Source organism: Homo sapiens, chromosome 14 (genome assembly GCF_000001405.40).
Source record: "Homo sapiens chromosome 14, GRCh38.p14 Primary Assembly".
Taxonomy (NCBI): domain Eukaryota; kingdom Metazoa; phylum Chordata; class Mammalia; order Primates; family Hominidae; genus Homo; species Homo sapiens.
Genome location: NC_000014.9, coordinates 45,114,616 through 45,137,367, shown reverse-complemented (window position 1 = coordinate 45,137,367; position 22,752 = coordinate 45,114,616). Strand labels below are relative to the sequence as shown.

The 22,752-nt window shown below is 40.4% G+C and overlaps 3 protein-coding genes across 12 annotated transcripts in view, besides 6 other annotated features; 1 reads left to right on the top strand and 2 right to left on the bottom strand.

The window, feature by feature from the left end:
* The window catches only part of FANCM (FA complementation group M), a 64,961-nt gene extending 63,523 nt beyond the window's left edge, over positions 1 to 1,438 (bottom strand). For all 9 annotated transcript variants that reach the window (XM_011537034.3, XM_017021523.2, NM_020937.4 and 6 more), the window contains exons 1-2: positions 829 to 1,438; positions 127 to 299 (exon numbers count right to left, since the gene is read on the bottom strand). In XM_011537034.3, the coding sequence (XP_011535336.1) occupies positions 127 to 299; positions 829 to 1,336 (681 nt within the window). In that variant the 5' untranslated portion in view covers positions 1,337 to 1,438. The remainder of the gene's footprint in view (positions 1 to 126; positions 300 to 828) is intronic.
* Positions 1,235 to 1,284: an enhancer, noted in NCBI's record as "active region_8299". NCBI's record gives its function as "activates an Ori minimal core promoter by ATAC-STARR-seq in GM12878 lymphoblastoid cells {active_cell/tissue: GM12878}" and the evidence as "EXISTENCE:reporter gene assay evidence [ECO:0000049][PMID:35858748]".
* Positions 1,947 to 2,817: an enhancer, noted in NCBI's record as "NANOG-H3K27ac-H3K4me1 hESC enhancer chr14:45603754-45604624 (GRCh37/hg19 assembly coordinates)". NCBI's record gives its function as "activates a minimal SCP1, AML or CMV promoter by ChIP-STARR-seq in primed H9 embryonic stem cells {active_cell/tissue: H9 hESC(primed)}" and the evidence as "EXISTENCE:reporter gene assay evidence [ECO:0000049][PMID:30033119]".
* Positions 1,947 to 3,689: a biological region, named in NCBI's record as "NANOG-H3K27ac-H3K4me1 hESC enhancers GRCh37_chr14:45602882-45603753 and GRCh37_chr14:45603754-45604624".
* Positions 2,764 to 2,941: a silencer, noted in NCBI's record as "fragment chr14:45603630-45603807 (GRCh37/hg19 assembly coordinates)". NCBI's record gives its function as "represses an EF-1alpha promoter that drives an FKBP-Casp9 reporter gene in an ReSE screen in K562 erythroleukemia cells {active_cell/tissue: K562}" and the evidence as "EXISTENCE:reporter gene assay evidence [ECO:0000049][PMID:32094911]".
* Positions 2,818 to 3,689: an enhancer, noted in NCBI's record as "NANOG-H3K27ac-H3K4me1 hESC enhancer chr14:45602882-45603753 (GRCh37/hg19 assembly coordinates)". NCBI's record gives its function as "activates a minimal SCP1, AML or CMV promoter by ChIP-STARR-seq in primed H9 embryonic stem cells {active_cell/tissue: H9 hESC(primed)}" and the evidence as "EXISTENCE:reporter gene assay evidence [ECO:0000049][PMID:30033119]".
* On the top strand, positions 2,887 to 21,769 carry FKBP3 (FKBP prolyl isomerase 3). Of its 2 annotated transcripts, none has more exons than NM_002013.4 (7): positions 2,887 to 3,019; positions 6,568 to 6,669; positions 7,467 to 7,574; positions 15,748 to 15,883; positions 16,414 to 16,481; positions 19,243 to 19,340; positions 21,116 to 21,769. In NM_002013.4, exons 1-7 carry the CDS (start codon positions 2,912 to 2,914, stop codon positions 21,168 to 21,170), a joined length of 675 nt encoding a protein of 224 aa, NP_002004.1. In that variant the 5' UTR covers positions 2,887 to 2,911; the 3' UTR covers positions 21,171 to 21,769. The 2 variants fall into 2 exon arrangements, with proteins under 2 accessions (NP_002004.1, XP_011534867.1); XM_011536565.4 differs by lacking the exon at positions 2,887 to 3,019 and adding an exon at positions 3,114 to 5,109.
* Positions 2,911 to 3,130: an enhancer, noted in NCBI's record as "active region_8298". NCBI's record gives its function as "activates an Ori minimal core promoter by ATAC-STARR-seq in GM12878 lymphoblastoid cells {active_cell/tissue: GM12878}" and the evidence as "EXISTENCE:reporter gene assay evidence [ECO:0000049][PMID:35858748]".
* Positions 21,086 to 22,752, bottom strand: part of PRPF39 (pre-mRNA processing factor 39) — a 32,167-nt gene continuing 30,500 nt past the window's right edge. The window contains exon 14 of the mRNA NM_017922.4: positions 21,086 to 22,511. Within this exon, the coding sequence (NP_060392.3) occupies positions 22,455 to 22,511 (57 nt within the window). The 3' untranslated portion in view covers positions 21,086 to 22,454. The remainder of the gene's footprint in view (positions 22,512 to 22,752) is intronic.

The following is a 22,752-nucleotide window of genomic DNA, read 5'->3' as shown; positions in this document are numbered from 1 at the left end:
GAGATAATAGACGTAAAGGCTTTTTATAATAATATTGTCAATAACTTCCATCACTAGTAACTATTCGCCAAAATTCTCTTTAACAGTACAGTTACAATACAAAATACCGTTTAACAAAATTATTACCTGGCAATAAGCATAGTTTCCGAGAGCTTTATGAGCTTCATCAATAACTAAACACTTTATTTCAGCAGCGGGACAAGCTCCTCTAGAAAGGTCATTTACCATGACCTGAGGTGTAAGAAAAAGCACTCTCTTACTGCACCATATTTCCTTCCTGGTGGAAGCTTGTGTAGACCCTGAAAATAAAAGTGACATTCTACATTCTAAACTTCAGACTGTTATCTATAAAATATAAATAGTCTGGCTTTTTCAGAATGCAAACATGCTTTGGTAACATTAAGAGAAAAACAATTTGACAATTCATCGGAATGCTACATTTTAAAGTTCTGGTGTGGTCCAAATATCAAAGCTGGCACTTATCTAGGACTACAACCAAATTGTCTTTAGAAAATTCCTACAAAATGGCATATTTGAAGAGAGGCAAATTCTTCAACTGAGAAATCTTTTTCAGGAAGAATGCCAGGAAATATCATGTTCAGTTACCCATGGGGTATACGCACATAATAGCTTCAAAATACTATGACAAGCTGCAGATATTCTCTGAAGATTGAATAAAGCAACCCTATTCATCAGTTTTGGGCTTGCTGCAAGTAGAGAATGTTTTAAGAGGGAGGGCGTAAGATGCACATGTTGTAGCTTGGGAACTATTCCACATGGGTCAGGAATTCCCAGCTCTTACTTCAAAATTAGTCCAGTCTAAGATACCTGTCATTTCGGCCATGTGGGATTGCGGGATACCCATCACCTGGTAGCAAGCCTCGATCTGCTGTGTCACCAAGGGTTTCGTTGGGGCCATGAAGACCACCTTTCCTGAAGGGAACCAGCGGTAGAAATTGTACATGACCACGGCGGCAATAAAGGTCTTTCCCAGTCCGGTAGGCAGACACACCAGCGTATTGCAAAACAGAGCAGCCCGGGAAATGTGCAGCTGGTAGTCCCGCACTGGGCAATTGGTAGGGTAAATCCACAGGGCGCCCGCGGAGGTGCAGAACCCGCCATTCTCTAGACACAACTGCCGCTCAGCCTCGTACGCCGCGACAAGCAACACATCATCGTCCGACTCCAGCTGAGCCTCCGCTGCTGCTGGCAAAGGCGCCTTGGAGCTGCCAGGGCTCTGAGGTCGCTCAGTTCCGGAGCTGCAACCCGGAGTCCCAGATGATCGGGAGATACTTGAGCCCCACGTCTGAAAAAGCGTTCTTTGCCGTCCGCTCATTAGGCCGACAACCACCGAAGGCTTCTGTCAGATATCCGTAGCAGCAGCAGCTCAACCGCTACGGTTCCGATCCCCATCGGTTTCCTTCGCACAAAACTCTGGAACGAGAAGGCGGGACTAAGGCCAGTTTATCCAGTTGAAAATGCCGCTACTGAGTTTCCGTTGGGAATGATTGGCTGGCTTCCCGGAAACCTTCACAGCCCTGCCGGAGACTCATGCGCATTATTAAGGCGTTACTCTAAATATGGTCCCCGGTGCGGTTCCGGTGTTTTGTTTTAACAAACTCTAAATTTAAGTTCCGTTTCCAATGATTAGATGGCTGGGCGTCATTGCTAACGTGATAAATCACTTAAAATGTTATAATAGAGATTTATTGTAAAATATTACATACCCGGGGACAATGGAATAGCCACCAGTTTGGGAACTTAATGTTATTGAGCGTCTAACGTGCCTCATTCCTTGTACTTTTAAATCAGAATATAAAGTGAAAAGCAAAAATGTGTAGATGGAATAATTTGTCTTATATCTCTATCTGGGCTGAGAAAACAAAATGCCAAGTCTCTTTTTCACCGCGCTGGGAGTGGCAACCCATTATTTTAATATTTTCATTGTTTAAAGGGAAGTGAACGTGGTCTGGTCCAGCTATTCGTCAGAATTTTTTTTTTTAATGCTCCTTGCAAAGCAGAGCTAACTCATAGGCAACATGCCCAGAGTCAGCCTACATTTTTTTAAGTAAGGAGTCCTGATGTTCAACTATTAAATCTTTATTATAGGTAAGAGCATTATAATAAACGTCGGTGTGCAATTATTCCACTCTAACGAAGATTTCTGTCTCAAATAATTCCTGACTTCTCTCTAAACCTGACTTTGAGTAACCTCTGTAAATTTGTTTCCTCGTGTACTGAGAAAAAAATATACATCACAGAGTTACGAGCATTAATAATGTCATTCTCATCAGCAAGTGGCATCCTGAGTGCGGCTTCTTTATAAATTGTTTTATTTGTTAAAGTTTCTGAACTTCGTTTTGGACAAACTTTCTCGTATTTGTATGGGGGGAAGGGGATGGGCAGTTTGTATTTAAGTTTCGGTTGTGTGATCTTTAAAAGGGAAATGGTGGGATATGGGTTTTCGGATCGACAAGGACTGAAGCACTTCAGGTGTGACTTTTTAGGCTAGAACTAGATAAAACGAGATAAGGAGCCTGAATGCTGTTTTCTTTTAACAGGTTATAGACTGGACTTTAAAGGCATAGCTGCCTTAAATGTGGGTAATGGTTGATAAATGTCGCTACCATCAGAGGTCGCTTCACAAGGTGTCTAATTCAGAATCGAAGATCTCTAGCGGTCTTCTACTCAGTCGACTGCAGAGACGACCGCGGTAGGTTTTTCAACCCGGACTCAACAAAGAAGCCCTCATAGCACAGCCTTGACGTCACTCAAAGACAGGCCCCAATCCCGACTGCTAGAGCAGAGGCCCGCCCCTCGACCTCCGTGAGTGGCCCCGCCCCGCCCTAGGGGGCGGGGCGATGCCGAACTGCGGCGGGCTGGCTCAGTAAAGCGGAGGCAGCGGGGGAAGATGGCGGCGGCCGTTCCACAGCGGGCGTGGACCGTGGAGCAGCTGCGCAGTGAGCAGCTGCCCAAGAAGGACATTATCAAGTTTCTGCAGGAACACGGTTCAGATTCGGTACCAGAGGCGTAGGGGCGGCCGGGCTGGTGCGGCTGAGGGACGCCTCACCCCCCTGGAGATGCCCATACATTCCGTATTCCTCTGTGCCCCCGCCCTCGTCTTCCCGCGGCCGGTGGCCTGGAAGGCCGGAGAGGCCCAGCTTGTGCTTTGGTGCCTCGCTCCCGCCTCTCGGGCGTTCTCTACTGGGGCAGGGGAGCAGCTTTATTTCTTGGGGCACACAGGCTGCAATTGTAGAGTTAGAACCTCATTGGGATCCTTGAGTGGGGGTGGAGGCCAGAAAAATAGGAACCCGAGGATATTGGGGGCTAGGGCGGAGAGGCCGAGGAATAGTGGTGTGGATGAGACTCCTGGGAGCGGGGCGCCGGCTACTAGGGAAATGGGAAGGGATGTGAAGATTTCTGTGGGAACGGTGTATCCAACTTGCTTTTCTCAACAGTTTACTAAATACTGAACATTAATGCGTGTGATTTTTAAAAAATCCGTAGGTTGTGGTTTAAGTTTTGATTTAACATATCGACCCTTTAAATGACCTTTTCACCTTTATACTTTAAGGGAGCTACATGCACATTTCTCTTGTGCAGTGGTCTGTCATTGTTATAAACAGACTAAGAAATTTATTTGAAATGCTTTATACTGTAGGCTCTCCATTTGTCAGCATAGTCTCCATCTTAACCATCCGTCTATAGTCAAGTTATTTTTGTTACACTTGTTTTTCCTTTGGAAAATAAGTTCATTCATGCACCTGTTAAATTGCTGAAATAGTTGTGCACGCAGCATTCTCTTACAAGCGGCAGCCTGCTTGTGTTTTCTATACAATTTTTAAAATTCTAAACTTTTCATTTAGAAAAACTGTTTCTGGGTTTTTTTGTTTGTTTGTTTGAGACGGAGTCTCTCTCTGTTGCCCAGGCTGGAGTGCAGTGGCGCGATCTCGGCTCACTGCAACCTCCGCCTCCCGGGTTCAAACGATTCTCCTGCCTCTGCCTCTCGAGTAGCTAGGACTACAGGCGCGTGCCACCACGCCAGGTTAATTTTTTGTATTTTTAATAGAGACGGGATTTCACCGTGTTAGTCAGGATGGTCTCGATCTCCTGACCTCGTGATCCGCCCGCCTCGGCCTCCCAAAGTGCTGGGATTACAGGCGTGAGCCACTATTTCTGGGTTATTTTGAGAAGCTTATATTTTATTTTCATTTTGGGCGGGCGTCATGACAGGGAGATAGAAGAACTCTCCAACTTCCAGTGCCTTCTTCCTTAATTATTATCCTGGCATCCGCATCTTAGATTAATTTAGCAGATATTAATACAACATCTGTAACAAGAACTATTCTCAGTGTTTGGAGGTACAAGGGTGAAAAAGAACATGTGTCGGGGATCTTACCCCATTTTAATGGAACTATTTTCTCTTAAGCCAATTCGTATTTCATCTGAAACAATAGAATAGACATCATTAACATTTAATAATACCTCAGTCATGTACTTCATCCATCATATTCTTATGAAACAAATCATGCCATGTGGAATCGTATGTAAAACTGGGCCACGTGGAAGAATTTCAACAGACTTGGATTATCAAAATGTTTTTATAACATTAATCTTTTAAATGCATAGTCTCGGTCGGTCGTGGTGGCTCATTCCTGTAATCCTAGCACTTTCGGAGGCCAAAGCGGGCGGATCACGAGGTCAGGAGATCGAGACCATCCTGACTAACAGTTGAGGCCAGGCATTGAGGACCAGCCTGGCCAACGTAGCGAAACCTCATTTCTACTAAAAATACAAAAAAAATTAGCTGGGCCTGGTGGTGGGCGCCTCTAATCCCAGCTGTTCGGGAGGCTGAGGCAGGAGAATCGTTTCAACCCAAGAGGGGGAGGTTGCAGTGGGCCGAGATTGGGCCACTGCACTCCAGCCTGGGCGACAGAGCTAGACTCTGTCTCAAAAATTAATAATAATAATCTCCGGTGATCATTAACACTTAGACCTATACTTGACAATAATTATTTTATTAATCATAAGATATCAAAGAGATGTTTATGCTTTTATGCTTTGGGTATTTTCTGGAATCTTTAACAAGAAACCACCAGCATGCTAAAGGTAACTGATTACTTCCGTTTAGTCAACTTTGTCTCCTTTCCCCATCAGCTGTTATTTAGAACATATCTTTGAAAGAAAAAGCAAAAGAAAAAAATACAATAGTGATAGTGTTAGCTGTTAACTGCTAATAATGTTAACTGCTTTATCAAAAGCTTAGAAGATGCCAAAGGACAACTTTGAGAATGTAACAAAATTAGGAATTAAGCAAGGACCACAAGGCAGAAAAAGAAGCAGAATAAAATAAGGAAACAAAGAAGTTATGGAAATCCTCACAATTACGTGATTTTCAGATAAAGTTATACTACGACTTGCTATTTCAGCAGTAGTATTTTAGTGTCCATCTGCCATCTTAGCAGTCTTATATTTGAAAGAAAAGCAATTCCGCTGTTACCTTGAGTTATTAAATACAGTATTAATCATAATCCCAATATTTATTAAGTTCTTACTGTGTGACAGGCTCTATGCTAAATGCATTAAATGGATTTTTGCATTTTATCCTTATATCAACTCTTTGACGTAGACGCTGTTATTAATCTTCCACTACAGATATGGAGGCTGAGTCTTTAGACAAGCTTAGTCCCCTGTCTAGTGTCAGACAGCTAGGATTTTTTTTTTTTTTTTTTTTTTTTTGAGACAGAGTCTTGCTCTGTCACCTAGGCTGGAATGCAGTGGTGCGATCTCGGCTCACTGCAACCTCCACCTCCCAGGTTCACGCCATTCTCCTGCTTCAGCCTCCCGAGCTGGGACTACAGGCATGCGCCACCATGGCCAGCTAAATTTTGTATTTTTAGTAGAGATGGGGTTTTGTCACGTTGGCCAGGCTGGTCTCAAACTCCTGACCTCAGGTGATCCGCCTGCCTCAGCCTCCCAAAATGCTGAGATTACAGGCATGAGCCACCGCGCCCGGCCCACACAGCTAGGATTTTAACCTAGATAATATGACTCCACAGCCCATATACTTAGCAATTATATATATAATGTTAAGCATAGCAATCTCAACATATGTATGTTACATGCTTGTGTAACAGTGACTCTTCCTAGTCGGCTAAGAATGGGTTACAAATGCCTCAGGATAGCTATGTCCAACCTGGCTGGAGGCTCTCAAGGGCTGCACCCAAGTATCCTCCTGCAGTGAGCAGCTGACTCAAGTCACCACAGTGTGCTTGCTGTATAAATGTTATTTTTTGTGAGTGTTGACAGGAAAAAGTTTAGGATGAAACACTGTGTTCAGTACATAACACTACAGTTGCAGTCTTGTCACTAATTCTTGTAAATACCGAATTTTTAAAAAATCTCTTACTTTTTTTGTAACAAAGAGTATAAACTATAGGCTTTATTTCTTCTTCAGTACTAGTACTACTGAAAACACAACTGCTAACATAAAAGGATCGTTTTCTAATTTTAGACACTTCTTACTCGGGAGAAGTTATCTTGATTACCCAGCTTTTTTCCTTATAGTTTCTTGCAGAACATAAATTATTAGGAAACATTAAAAATGTGGCCAAGACAGCTAACAAGGACCACTTGGTTACAGCCTATAACCATCTTTTTGAAACTAAGGTGAGTATTGTTAGATTCTGTTAGCAGAACATCACTTTTGAAATTTTATTTCCAAAAAAGATGTTTAAAATGCATTGATTTGTTGAATGTGTTGGAGCTTTTCCACCTGTAATTTTTCTGAACTGTTATCATAAGTGGACTAGCTGTCAAATCTAGCAAGGCTAATCTGCAGTATGGCAGAATGTTTCAGTATTTTCAAAGGGTCTGGATTTTGTAGCTTAAATTGAGACAACAAATTCTTAAGTCCACTGAAGTTATAAATTCATTAGGTCAGTGGTATTACCGTATTACTTTAGCATATGGTGTATATTAAATGTATTTTGTTGTTGTTTTATTATATATGTTAAATGTTATATTGAAAATAAGTTTCCATTTCACTAATGAATTTAAAGTCTGGTTTAGATTTAGGCTGAGCTTTACAAAAATACATTTTAAGACATTCTCCCACATTTGTTTACTATGAAATGAATATCTTCCACAGGAAAGAAATCTTTATTTAGGAGTTATTTGAATAGTGCTTATATCTCTGGGTATGAGTTGGCCTTTCTAAGGTCATGGTTCTCATTTCAGAATTTATATTGTAAGCTGGTTTGAGGGTAATCATTTATTGTTTAAAAATAAATTATGAGCAAAATTCTTTCTTTGCTCTTCGTTTCCTTAGACCATTTATTCACAATTGTGTTATACAACCTATATTTATTATGCAGATGTTCATTTAATTGAGAGGCTGAAAATCTTGATGTTGCTTCTTGGTTTTAGCCTGTCCTGGGTATGATGTTACAACATTTTCCTTACAGCGTTTTAAGGGTACTGAAAGTATAAGTAAAGTGTCTGAGCAAGTAAAAAATGTGAAGCTTAATGAAGATAAACCCAAAGAAACCAAGTCTGAAGAGACCCTGGATGAGGTCTGTATATAATTATTTTTTTATTTTATCATGTGGAGTCTAGAAATTGTATTTATTTCTTTATTATTTGCACTAACTTCTCATAGTGAAGGGTGGTTGAATACGACCACTTTCAATGAGCCAAACACTTAATGTAGTGGGCCATTTCCCTTAGGTGTACTGGGACAGAAATAATCCTAAGAACTAGTGCTTTACAGTTATTAGCCTATTCTGTGAAACACTTCTGATATTGTATTTAATATCGCCTCCACATCTGTCCAGACCTTCTGAGCTTTCAAAGCTATTTTAAGGCCTTGATTCTATAGCCAAGTTGGACTAAGTGAAATACATTTTCTTTTGATTATTTTTAGCTTTTTCTAATGTACATGGTGTCCCTGGCAATAGAAATAATCCAGGCTTGGCTGCAGGATGTGGGTTCATCTGTCTCAGTTTTCCCAACTCAGGTTTTATACTTTGGTACAAAGGTTTGAAGAACCAGATTAATTCATTCCTGCAAATTGACAGCCTTAGTAGAGCTAAGATCAGCTACTAAGAACTGACTTAGCAGAGCTGAATTGATTATAATCTTGTCATTTCTGATAATACCTTACTATCTAAGCTCACTCATTGCCAGCAGTCTTAGTATCAGTGATAATAATCTATTTTTAGTTCTTGTAAAGAGGTGAGGCTATTGATGACAGTGTAGCTTTTGGGTATTTGTGGAAAGTGTAAGTTCAGTTATACAATTATAGATGTTTATTTGATTAAAGCTAGTTAATTTTGCATGATCTTTTCCTATTGGCTAAAAAGCACAAATTAATGTTTATAGGTATATGTGCACACAAAGCAGTTTTAAAGTTTATCACAATTAATATTTAATAAATGTTATATCTATTGAGTAGCTACTAAGGTAAATGGAGCAATTATTATTGAAGGGTTTCAGAAGCAACTGGCAACATAGTTCACCCTCCAGGAAATTAGAATGAGGATGGTTTTAGGAGACAGATAATATTTCATTAAGGAGTTAAGAAAATAAAAGGTAAATTCATAAGAGCTAGAGACAATCTAGAGCAAGCTTATGAGGGTCCTAAACTCTATCATTTTATTTAAAACCTCTTCGTTTAACTGGCCAGCTTGAGCCCATTTATGTACTGTGACTGTTTTCCTAGCGTCCTACATTCAAAAGCCTCTTGTCCATTTCCTTGCTAACCCTCGTTGTCTACTCTCTGTCTTCATGCTTTGGGACTGGAGAGCAGGCATTATAAACATATAATCATAAAACCTTTTATTGAGCCTGGTATAAATTCATGCTTAATATTAGCCAAGCATGTTTTCTAGTTTCATTGCTACTCAACAACATTTATACTATCCTTTGCCCAGTTCTCCATCACATTGCTCATTGCTCACATAAAGTATTTGACATTTTCTCACAAATTCTCAGTCCCTTCTTACTCCTTTCTCTTTTTTTGTTTTTGTTTTTGTCTTTGAGACAAAGTCTCACCCAGGCTGGAGTGCAGTGGTGCCATCTTGGTTCACAGCAACCTCCCCCTCCTGGGTTCAAGTGATTCTCCTGCCTCAGCCTCCCCAGTAGCTGGGACTCCAGGCAGGCGCCACCATGCCCAGCTGATTTTTGTATTTTTAATAGAGACGCAGTTTCTCCATGTTGGCTGGGCTGGTCTTGAACTCCTGACCTCAAGTTATCCGCCCACCTAGGCCTTCCAAAGTGTTGGGATTACAGGCGTGAGCCACTGCCCCTGGACTCCCTTCTCATTATATGCTCCTGTGTTCTGTAGTGCCAAAATGTGAATGTCTAGCCATTGCCATTCCCTTCTTCTGAGCTTAAAATTTCTCTGAATCTTTGCGTCCCTTTTTCTTTCTCATGTCTCCTTCAGGACTAATGCTCTCAAACATCTTCCTTTTATTTTAAACGTTCATTCCTTTTCCATTTTCAAGCATTCGAAGCAAGGCCTCATACCCAGAATGTTAAAAACGTTGTTCATTTCTTGCCTCCCTTCTCTTTCTTTATCCAGTCAGCAACAAAATGGGTATTCTAATAAGATTTCTAAAACAATACTTTGCAAACCACACCCTGCTGAAAAATCTTCAGTAATTGAGTGTTGTCTAGAATTGCCCCGTTCAGTATGGTAGTTACTAACAATATGTGGCTACAGAGTGCTTTAGCTACTTTGAACTGAAATGTGCTTTAAGAATAAAATATATACTCAGTTTCAAAGGTGTAATTTAGACGTTTCTTTTTTAAAAAAGAATGTAAAATATCTCAGTATTTTTTATATTGATTACTTATTGAAATGATGGTATTTGGGATGTTTTAGTTTAAATAAGAAAATTTTTCATTTAAAAATTTTTTATTTTATTTTTTTAAGACAGGGTCGGTTGGGAGGCCAGGCATGGTGGCTCATGCCTGTAATCCCAGCACTTTGGGAGGCCGAGGCAGGCGGATCACCTGAGGTTGGGAGTTCGAGACCAGCCTGGCCAACATGGTTAAACCCTGTCTCTACTAAAAATACAAAAAATTAGCCAGATGTGGTGGTGCACACCTGTAATCCCAGCTACTCGGAAGGTTGAGGTGGGAGAATCGCCTGAACCCCAGAGGCGGAGGTTGCAGTGAGCTGAGATCGCACCATTGTACTCCAGCCTGGGCAACAAGAGTGAAACTCTGTCTCAAAAAAAAAAAAAAAGACAGGGTCAGTCAGGTACAGTGGCTGGTGCCTGTAATCCCAGCACTTTGGGAGGCCAAGAGGAGCAGATCACTTGAGGTCAGGAGTTTGAGACCAACATGGTGAAACCCCGTCTCTACTAAAAATACAAAAATTAGCTGGGCATGGTGGCATGCATCTGTAATTCCAGCCACATGGGAGACTGAGGCAGGAGAATCACTTGAACCCAGGAGGCAGAGGTTGCAGGGAGCCAAGATTGCGCCACTGCACTCCAGCCTGGGCAATAGAAGGAGACTCAGTCTCAAAAAAAAGAAAAAAAGAGACAGGGTCATGCTGTGTTGCCCAGGCTGGACTCAAACTCGTGGGCTCCAGTGATCCTCCTGCCTCAGAATACTCAGAATAACTGGGACTACAGGCATACCACTGCCTGGCATAGACATACTTCATCTCTTTCTTTTTACATTTTTAAGTGCAGCTATTAGACAACTCAAAATTACATTTGTGACTCCCATTTTTATTGGTCACCACTGGTCTTCAATATATATCCAAATTTCTTATTCTTGGCATTCAAAACTTCCAAAATGTGGCTGCTGCTAAGCTCCATATTCCATGTTTCTATAGACGTATTCTTTTTTTTTCTTTGTTTTTTGAGACGGGGTCACGCTCTGTTGCCTAGGCTGGAATGCAGTGGTGTGATCTCGGCTCACTGCAACCTCCGCCTCCCGGGTTCAAGCAGTTCTCCTGCCTTAGCCTCCTGAGTAGCTGGGATTACAGGCGCACACCACAACGCCCGGTTAATTTTTGTATTTTTAGTAGAGACAGGGTTTCACCATGTTGGTCAGGCTATTGTCGAATTCCTGACCTCGTGATCCACCCACCTCGGCCTCCCAAAGTGCTGGGATTACAGGCGTGAGCCACTGTGCCCGGCCTGTATAGACATGTTATTGGCCAGGTGCAGTGGCTCACGCCTATTATCCCAGCACTTTGGGAGGCCAAGGAAGGTGGATCACTTGAGCCCAGGAGTTCAAGACCAGCCTGGGCAACATGGCGAAACCTGTCTCTACCAAAAAAGTAGCCAGGCGTGGTGGTGTGTGCCTGTAGTCCCAACTACTCAGGAGGCTGAGCAGGGAGGATCCTTTGAGCCTGGGAGCCAGAGATTGTAGTGAGACAAGATTGTGTGCCACTGCACTGCCTAGGTGGCAGAGTAAGACCTTGTCTCAAAAAAAAAAAAAATTTTTTTTCTTTGACCACAAATGTCTGCTCATTGTCTACTACATCATGCCCTTTCCTACCTCCATATTTTATTTCTTCCTTAGAGTGTCCTTTTACTATCCCTATTTGTCACTTCTGTGCTCCCTTTAAGACCCAGCTCCTGGGCTCATTGCTTCCTCTGGAATTTTTACCATGTGAGACTTTGCTGTATACATACACAACTGCATACATTCCTAAGCACATTTGTATTATTTATTTCTACCTTTATTTTAATATAAAGACTTGTCTAATAGCTCTTATGGGATTTTAAATCAGTCATTGTCAATATATTTATTGTCTATTATATATTAAATAGCATTGAGGAAAATTTTCATGGTATGAATGAGTATTGTACAGGAAAGAAAATATAAGTTACGACAGAAACTCACACTTAGCAATTAGAAGTCAGTATAAAAGTACTCAAACGAAAAATTTGATAACTTCATCTTTGATAACTGCTTCATATGTAGTTATTACCAACTTCTGGTGATTCTGCCTCCAAAATATATCCCAAAGCCATTCATGTTTTGTCATCCTCACTGTTAGCACCCTGGTCTAAACCTAAACTACTATAGTAACTTTTTTCCTAACAAGTCTCTCCACTTCTACTTTTGCTTCCCAAGTCATTTTTTATATTTCAGTCACAGTGATCTATTTAAAACACAAATCTGGCTGGGCACTGTGGCTCACGCCTGTAATCCCAACACTTTGGGAGGCTGAAGCAGGCAGATCACCTGAGGTCAGGAATTCGAGACCAGCCTGGCCAACATGTGAAACTCCACCTGCACTAAAAATACAAAAATTAGCCAAGTGTGGTGGTTCATGCCTGTAGTCCCAGCTGCTGGGGAGGCTGAGGCAGGAGAATTGCTTGAACTCGGGAAACAGAGGTTGCAGTGAGCCGAGATCACACCACTGCACTCCAGCCTGGGCAACAGAGTGAGACTCGGTCTCAGAAATAAATAAATAAAATAAACACAGATCCGATTCTGTAACTTCTCTTATTTAAAACTCTAAATTGGCTAATGTCCTAAAGATAAAAACCCAGATTCTAACATGTCCTACGTATTTTTCTAGCCGTATTTCATGCCATTCTCCCTTTCATTGCTCCCTTACAGACAGTAATATTTTTATACTTTTGAAATATTATTAAGCAGGCACAGTGGCTCCTGCCTGTAATCCAGCACTTTGGGAGACTGAGGCAGGTGGACTGCTAGAGCCTATAAGTGAGCCGTGATCACACTACTGTAAAATATCTCAGTATTTTACAGTGGTATGATCACTCCAGCCTCAGCAACACTGAAACCCTGTCTCTTAAAAAAAGAAAAAAAAATATATATATATAATTTTTTTTTTAAGACAGAGTTTTACTCTTGTCACCCAGGCTGGAATTCAGTGGCACAATTTTGGCTCACTGCAACCTCTGCCTCCTGGATTCAAGTGATTCTCCTGCTTCAGCCCCCTAAATAGCTGGGATTTCAGGCGCCTGCCACCATGCCCAGCTAATTTTTGTATTTTTAGTAGAGATGAGGGTTTCACCATGTTGGCCAGGTTGGTCCCGAACTCCTGACCTCAGGTGATCAACCCTTCTGGGCCTCCCAAAGTGCTGGGTTTACAGGTGTGAGTAACTGCGCCCAGCTGATTGAAAGATTTCTATGCTGTATGCACCTGCTCTACTGAGAAGGTCATGGAAAAGACAAGAGTTCAAAGGCTGATAGAATTCTGGAACTTCAGGGAGGGATAGATTAAGATCCTGCATGGTTTAGGCCTTTGGACACAAAACTATAAGCAGTAATTGTTAATATCACTCTAGCAGTTGAGTAGAGGACTGACTCAAGGTGTCAGAGATAAACACAATCGGACATTAAAGTGGTGAAAACAGATTTTATTCAGCCTACTGACAGTAGGGGAAAGAGCTAAACTCCAGTCTGATTTGTGGAGGGGTAACTGGGCCTTTTAAAAGAATGAGGGGGCTGGGCCTGGTGGCTCACGCTTGTAATCCCAGCACTTTGGGAGGCCGAGGCGGGCAGATCACGAGGTCAGGAGATGGAGACCATCCTGGCTAACATGGTGAAACCCCGTCTCTACTAAAAATACAAACAAAAATTAGCTGGGTGTGGTGGCGGGCGCCTGTACTCCCAGCTACTTTGGGAGGCTGAGGCGGGAGAATGGCGTGAACCCGGGAGGCAGAGCTTGCAATGAGCCGAGATCATGCCACTGCACTCCAGCCTAGGTGACACAGCAAGACTCCATCTGAAAAAAAAAAAAAAAAAAAAAAAAAAAAAAGGAGTAGAGAGGGATTTAAGCAGAGTTAGAGAAGTGAAAAATTACATAAAGTAGGAAGTGGGGTTGGTCCATATGAAACCCATCTGAGTTTGCCAACTGGCGCTTATCAAAATCAGGCTCCCACAGAGACAGAGACAGGGGTCCTATCTTCATCTTGAGGCGTTGGCTGGAACAAACAGTAAATTTTTTTTGGCAGCCTTAAGTTTTCTTAGGCGGACACTTTAAGGAGGGATCAGGTCCTCCTAGGAATAAGGCCTTGAGCTATTTGAAACTTGTGTTTGTTCAAATCTTTATAGTCCAAGGTTGAAGGCTTGTGAAGAAGAGGTCTCAGAGGACCCTAGCTAGGGTTTGGTCAGGGAGAGAATCTTTTGCCCAAGAGGTAGACTATTTGCAAGGAGATCAGACTTTTTTTTTTTTTTTTTTAGATGGAGCCTTGCTCTGTCGCCCAGTGGTGCCATCTTGGCTCACTGCAACCTCCGCCTCCTGGATTCAAGTGATTCTCCTGACTCTACCTCCCGAGTAGCTGGGATTACAGGCACACGCCACCACATCCACCTAATTTTTGTATTTTTAATAGAGATGGGGTTTTACCATGTTGGCCAGGCTGATCTCAAACTCTTGACCTCAAGTGATCCACCCACCTTGGCCTCCCAAAGTGCTGAGATTACAGGTGTGAGCCACCGCACCCAGCACAGATATTTTTACTTACAAGTTTTGGAAAAGGATAAAACCTTCAGCTAGGGAAATGAAAGTGAATAAAAATTTGCATAACTTGACCAATTAGAAATAGATCAGGAATAGGCCAGGCGCGGTGGCTCACACTTGTAATCCCAACACTTTGGGAGGCCGAGGCGGGCGGATCACGAGGTCTGGAGTTCGAGACCATCCTGGCCAACATGGTGAAACCGTGTCTCTACTAAAAATCCAAAAAATGAGCTGGGCGTGGTGGCAGGCGCCTGTAGTCCCAGCTACTCGGGAGACTGAGGCAGGAGAATCACTTGAACCCAGGAGGCAGAGGTTGTTGCAGTGAGCCGAGATCACACCGCTGCACTCCAGCCTGGCGACAGAGTGAGACTCCATCTCAGAAAAAAAAAGAAATAGGTCAGGAATAAAGAAAACACTTTTCTCTTGCTTTTCAAACTCAGGAACTAATAGATATGAATTATTGGATATCCAAGCACACCTTTGTTATTTATTTTATGAAATTTAGAAACCAAATATAGATTTGGATAATGCAGATCCCTCTGAATTTGGTCTGAATTCAGAAACCAAATAGATTTAGGTAAGGATACTTTTAAATTCGGTACACTTCTTCTTTTTTTTAATTAACTCCCTAAGATTCTTGACAGTTCCTCTGTCTGCTTTCCTCTCATATATGAATTGCTATTGATTAGATTAATATGTAACCTTTTTTGTAGAAGACCCTGATAATCCTACTTTGTTCTAGGAAATATGCCTGTTATAGCAATTTCTTTAGGTAATTTCATCCATTGTGTGAATTTATTTTCCAAATCGGGGACAGAGGCAATATCACTGTATTCATTCTAATTGGTTATTATAAAAACACCTAGTAATATCAATTATTGCTGCTAAAACAGTTCAAATCTTTGTGGGGGGGAAGTCACCATCCCTTATTTTAATGCCTTATGATTTCATAGGAATTAAATAGTAATGATTTTTTTTAACTTTAGGAAATAACTGAAATCATGTTATGGTTTGGTGAATTATTAACAGAATCTTATTAGAAGAATTTAGGCTTCCAAAGAAGCTGGAAGTTATTTGAAATTAAATTATAGATGTGTAAGTTACTAATAGTCACATCACAGCCTTGAAATTAGATACTGAGGGTTTTGTTTGTTTATTTATTACCAAATCCATCAAACTCTTTAAACTGACTTTGGTCATTGTTGGCTATTGTTTGTCATTCTTTTAAAGGACACAAATTAATAACTCTGTGTGTGTGTGTTGTTTTTTGTTTTTAGGGTCCACCAAAATATACTAAATCTGTTCTGAAAAAGGGAGATAAAACCAACTTTCCCAAAAAGGGAGATGTTGTTCACTGCTGGTATACAGGAACACTACAAGATGGGACTGTTTTTGATACTAATATTCAAACAAGTAAGTCTAAATGGAATCTTATGTTTTTGGCTTAAAGAGATTCTAAATACTTGGGTGGCAGACAGATGAGTAGTTAGCAGTACCTTTTTCCTGACTGTCACCTACTTTCATCCAGACATACTTTCCCCCAAGATCTACTTGGAAGAGGTCTTCAGTTCACTGATTATTGGCTGGCTAAAGACCTCTTGTTCTTTGGAAAGCAAAAGATAAGGAATCTCAGTCTAAACCTGGTTAATGTCCCAAAGTAAGGCATTAGTATTTGAATAGAAAAGGCAGGATAGTATGCTGTTTTGTGATATAAGTATAGGTCCTACCCCTCTACCCTTTGTTAAGAATGTAATTATTTTTACAGCCAGAATTTTATTGATGGATGATCTTTGTAAATTTTTTCCTTCTTTTAAAATACATAGTATTGTAATTCTGAAATCAAACCACTATATTTTTCCACTGGAATTTAATAATTTCCAATGGAAATTTCTTAATAATAAATTAGAGTATATCATTAATGATAAGGAAAATCTGTTTTACAGGTGCAAAGAAGAAGAAAAATGCCAAGCCTTTAAGTTTTAAGGTCGGAGTAGGCAAAGTTATCAGAGGAGTAAGTAAAGAATGCCAATGAATCAGTAGATATTCTGGCATATGCTGCTTCTGGTATGGTGCTGTAAAGAATTAGGTTTGGGGATATAATACAAAGGAAACAGACTTTGGAGTCTGACAGATTGGGTATAATCATTGTTAGCTGATCTTGCACAAGTTATCTCGGTCTCAGTTTCGCTACATATAAAATGAGGACAGTACTGCCTACCTCAAGGTTTTTAGAAGATTAAATGAGCATAACTTGAAGTACCTAATACAGTAGGGGCTTAAATATTAGTCCCTTCCATGTGTACCCATTTTATTATTTTTCTTCATAAAGTAAGTCTTTGTCAGAATGTTTGGCCCTCTAAATTTAAGGTTCCTGTAAAATGTCTTATAACTGTTGTACCATTTACATATAATTTGCAAAGGTAAAATATCTGTCCCACTGAAGTATTCACAGAAGCAGAGTTTGTTTCTGCAGCCTTTTCACCTCATACAACATAGGCTGCAATACCAGAAAATCATTCAAACATGAGCATGCTTTAACCTACACTTATATGTGAGAGATAACAGAAAGAAACTTTGAGAAAAGAGGAAGTTAGGCTTGACCCGTACTGACCATTATACTGTACAAAAGAAGATAAAAGAGTAGGGCAGACTGTCACCTTCTATGAATCAGGTTTTCATGCTAAGGCCTGCCCATTGTGCCCATTGTTTGTTTTAAATTGTTATTCTCAGAACATCAGACATCAATAACTGAAATGCCTATTTAAATGCAGTTATAGGAACCTTCAATATATTACTCTCTGTACAATCAGTAGGTCCTAAGATATGGTTCAGACAATCATATACAGAATATAAAACATCTTAAAACTAAAGGTTTAGTTGAGCATAACTTATAATTGTTACCTGCCCCAGCCAGGCGTGGTGGCTCATGCCTGTAATTGCAGCAATTTGGGAGGCCGAGGTGGGTGGATCACAAGGTCGGTCAGGAGATCGAGACCATACTGGCTAACACTGTGAAACCCGTCTCTACTAAAAATACAAAAAATTATCTGGGCATGGTGGCACTTGCCTGTAGTCCCAGCTACTTGGGAGGCTGAGGCAGGAGAATTGCTTGAACCTGGGAGGTGGAGGTTGTAGTGAGCTGAGATCACGCCACTGCACTCCAGCCTGGGCAACAGAGCAAGACTCCATCTCAAAAAAAAAAAAAAAATTGTTACCTGCCCGTACCAAGTTGATAGCAAGTATATTATCAAATTGGGCCATTTTTCTATTTCTGTAACTTATTTGCATACTGGTAAATTTCTTCTAGTCTACCGTATTCTTTTTTTTTGAGACGGAGTTTTGCTCTTGTTGTCCAGGCTGGAGTACAATGGTGCAATCTCGGCTTACTGCAACCTCTGTCTCCTGAGTTCAAGCGATTCTCCTGCCTCAGCCTCCCGAATAGCTGGGATTACAGGCATGCGCCACCACACCTAATTTTGCATTCCTAGTAGAGATGGGGTTTCATCATGTTGGTCAGGCTGGTCTTGAGTGCTGACCTCAAGTGATCGCCCTCTTCATCTTCAGCCTCCCAAAGTGCTGGGATTACAGGCACGAGCCACCTTGCCCGGCTAGTCTACCATATTCTTATTTTCCAAATGTGACCACCCTAACTTTGTCCCTTGTGCTTTATATGATTGTTGCATTTCAATACAGCATATAATATTAGGAATATTATCCCTTTGGTGATGTGGATTTAACTGTTTGTGGAAACTAGCTTTAAGATCCAAATTTGGAAAATATGGAGAGGCCAACCCAGAAGACTTTTATTGTTTCTTTGAAAAGTTAGTTTTACCTTTTGCAAAAGATCTTAGTGCCGTAACATTTTAAAAATTGTATTTCCAAAATTAGCTGGGCATGCCTGTAATCCCAACTACTAGGGAGGCTGAGGCAGGAGAATCGGTTAAACCCGGGAGGCAGAGGCTGCAGTGAGCCAAGATCACGCTATTGCACTCCAGCCAGGGCAACAAGAGCGAAACTCCATCTCAAAAGAAAAAAAGAAAAAAATGTATTTTATGTGCCAACGTGACTCCACTATTACAATCTGGTAATCTTAAAACAATTTTACAGTGAGTACTTGCCAGTGTATTCCAATAAAAATAAACTCGTTTGTCCTGTGATGTAAAAGTGTTGCAGGTTTATGATGGTGCTAATAACTAACTGGTTTTCATAATGTATGGCATGTTACAGTTTACAAAAAGTTTTTTTTTTGTTTTTTGTTTGTTTGTTTGAGAAGGAGTCTCACTCTGTTGCCCAGACTGGAGTGCAGTGGCTCAATCCTGGCTCACTGCAACCTCCACCTTCTGGGTTCAAGTGATTCCCCTGCCTCAGCCTCCCGAGTAGCTGGGATTACAGGCACCCACCACCGCACCCAGCTAATTTTTTTATTTTTAGTAGAAGATGGGGTTTCACTATGTTAGCTAGGCTGGTCTCAAACTCCTGACCTTAAGTGATCTGCCCACCTCGGCCTCCCAAAGTGCTGGGATTATAGGTATGAGCCCCAAAAGGTTCTTTTCACATTAAAAAAGCCCTGCTTAAAATACCCTTTTTTTTCTATTGAAGAAATGGAAGACAAAGATTTAGGGACTCACTGAAGTACATTATCTTAGAATATAGTGAAATCTATAGTAATAGATTCTGTGTTTGTTTTAACATACAATCTTGTCTTGACTGTCCTGGTATTGCATGTGCTTTTTGCAAAATACCATTAGTTTTTATTTTGTTCTTGCCTTTAGTGGGATGAAGCTCTCTTGACTATGAGTAAAGGAGAAAAGGCTCGACTGGAGATTGAACCAGAATGGGCTTACGGAAAGAAAGGACAGCCTGATGCCAAGTATCCTTTTTTCCCCTTCATAATTAAAGTTGAAAAAAAAAAAACGTCTAGATCACCTTTGAGGATGTGAAAGATGCTGTCTAGGCAAACTTCTGGATCAAGAATCCTGTCCAGACTAGTCTTCCTGATCTTTAGATGCTTATGTGTCAGCACCTCCAATAGGCAATAGTATTTTCTATTGATATAAAGTTCAAACCTCAGCTAGAATTTTTGTTTCTCTTATTCAAATTCTTAACTTTCAAGACCTTAACTGTGAAGTTTAAGCTTAAACAGCAATTCTTAATGTTTTTAAGAGTTTAAGAAAAGTTACCATGCCCAGTACAAACTGTAGCAAACTACGATGCAAATATGGCTCATGGTAATTTTATGGTACAGTATAATTTCAGGCAATTAAATTCAAAGCTTAGAAATGGAATAGATGTGGGAGATTACCAGTTGTGAACTGAAGGAGACCACAGAATCAACAGTGTTAGTGTAAGCATTTATTATTACTACTAATGACAATACTCACTGATAAGTCCAGTTTGTGAACATTTAAAAAAAAAATAAGGAATGACTCCAGACCATTAAGACCAGACCAATCCAATAGGTAAGAGGGAAGGTAAGTTTATGGCTTTTGTTGGTTCCATTCCTCTTGGACCCATCAGATTAAGTTTGAAAAAACAAGTCCTTTGGGAGGCAGCTTTCTGTAGTCTTAGCAGATAAACATATTTGGGAATATAATAGCTCTCTTAGCTTTTCAAAATCAAATGAACAGGCTGGGCACCATGGCTAATGCCTGTAATCCCAGCACTTTGGGAGGCCAAGGAGGGCAGATCACCTGAGGTCAGGAGTTCAAAACCAGCCTGGCCAACATGGTGAAACCCTACCTCTACTAAAAATACACAAATTAGCCAGGCGTGGTGTTGCAGGCCTGTAATCCCAGCTACCCTGGAGGCTGTGGCAGGAGAATCACTTGAACCTGGGAAGCAGACGTTGCAGTGAGCTGTGATCATGCCACTGCACTCCAGCCTGGAGGAAAGAGTGAGGCTCTGTCTCGGTGGGGGGGGCGGGGAAATCAAATGGTCAGCTGCAGCTCCCTCTCCCATGTGAAGAAGCATCTCAAGACCAATCTGATGCACATATAAATTATATAACTCTTAAGTTAGCATATTTTGTTTTGGTTTTTTTTTGAGACAGGGTCTCGCTCTGTCACCCAGGCTGGAGTGCAGCAGCGTGATCTCAGCTTGCTGCAACCTCTGCCTCCCGGGCTCAAGCAATTCTCCTGCCTCACCCTCCCTGGTAGCTGGAACTACAGGTGCGCACCACTACGCCTGGCTAATTTTTGTATTTTTAGTAGAGACAGGGTTTCACTGTGTTGGCCAGGCTGGTCACAAACTCCTGACCTCAGGTGATCCACCTGCCTCAGCCTCCTAAAGTGGTGGGATTACAGGTGTGAGCTACCGTACCTGGCCTTGAACTTAGCATCTTAAAATGCACAGTAAATATTATGTACTACCTCATAAAAACTTTAATACTCTCTCTCTATATGTATATATATTTTTTTTGTTCCACCCCCCCCCAGCTAGAATGACATTACTTTTGTTTTGGAGTACTTAATAGTCTTCATTAAGTGGTGGCTAATTTAGGAGTACTTGTAAAGCATCCAGGTAAGGAGGATCCTAGTCCAAGCTCAATTTATCTAGTGAGCCTATCTAGTCAGCCTATCCTACACTAAGGTTATGGGGGTAGGGGAGAGGCACTTTTTATCAAATGTACCTTGACTTCTTCAACAGAATTCCACCAAATGCAAAACTCACTTTTGAAGTGGAATTAGTGGATATTGATTGAAATAGCAGTGCTTCAGCTCTAAGGATATTAGCAACAATGATAAAACTTGGCCTTGAAGAAATTTACACAACTAGTTAGAACTTGTTACTATTGTAAAGGAAGAGTCAACTGGAAAATTCAAGGAGTTAATAAAATTTGTTTACTTGGTCCCAGCTTTTGAGAGATAAATCCCTTATGAATCCCTGGTCTAAAATACTTTCCTACAGCTGTGTAAAATACTGGTCAAGGAGAACTTTTTCCTTTTACCTCATGTTGTAAACTTAAGTGGCTCAATAAAAATTGATCCACTGTCTTGATCTGACTGTGATTTGTTTGGTGTTAATATATTATTGTTCTGATTAGGGAATTGGAACTAAGGACCTCATCAAACCAGGGAGTAACTCCCAGTAAAATTATCTGGACAGATTGCCTGTATAATGAGAAGGCAAAAGCATAAGGCTTGAGGGGAAACAAAATGCTAAAAGCAGAAAAATCTTGGCAGGAAGATCAAGACCTGAATTTAGAAAAGGTGTACTTCAAAACCAATGAGCCACTAATAAAGGTGAACATAAGGTTAATATTACTAATTGATCCCCCCAAAATAAATTCATAAACAATTACTGGATGAGTCTTCCGTTTTATTACAAAAATGAAGATCAGTTTGATCAAAATGAAAGCTTGTTCACAAGTTTTACATGAATATTCTAAATACAAAGTCTCCTGAAACAACATACTTTTGATATGATTTTCATTTTTAAAGGGATGCAAACATTCCATTTTCTCATTTATAATCTATTCCAAGGCAAAGTATTTTAATAATGTATCCTTTCTGCAGTTAGATCACAATTCACAAGTATAACTGAAACAGACAAAACCTTGTCAGCAAAGGTTAAAAGTCCTTTTTTCTTTAAAAAAAAAAAAAAAAAAGGAGGTAAATAACCAGCCCTTATGTGTTTTCAGAATTTTGTACTACACTGACATGATTTGCAGTCAGGTTTTTCTTCCTACCCCTTAAGGCTACAAAATTCTGTTGCAAATGCATTGCAAAAGAATTCTAGACCACTTAATGCAAAAATCAAAAAATAGTTTTTCAATAAAAAGTAAATTTTATAAATGGTAGGAAACAGTATCTGTGGTAAGCTACTAATTGACATTTTCCCCCTATTACTAAACAAATCATGTTACACAGAAACAAGGAAGACAGGTTATCAAATACAACAAGCTTATACTGTTTACATCCCTCATTAAAAAAAATAATAATTTCATACTTTTCACACACTGCATTTGAAATTTACATTTTTCCCATCAGGTTGGAGGGGGAGGATAATATTGTCCATAATTCCAAGGATTCTGATAATTGTACTGAAAGGAAAAAGTAAGTATGTTAGCATATTAGAACTGTGGCAGAGTTCCATATGTAAAAGTATAATTAAAGCAGCTATGTTTAAGAAAACAAGCAAGTGTTCACTGCTAAAATTCTAGTACTTAACCACCAAAGAATGTATTACACAATTGGAACAAAAACTTTTTTTAAAAAAAAAGAAACTATCCTAATTTATGCTAATAACATCTATGAACAAAGAATTATAATTATGCAGACTCA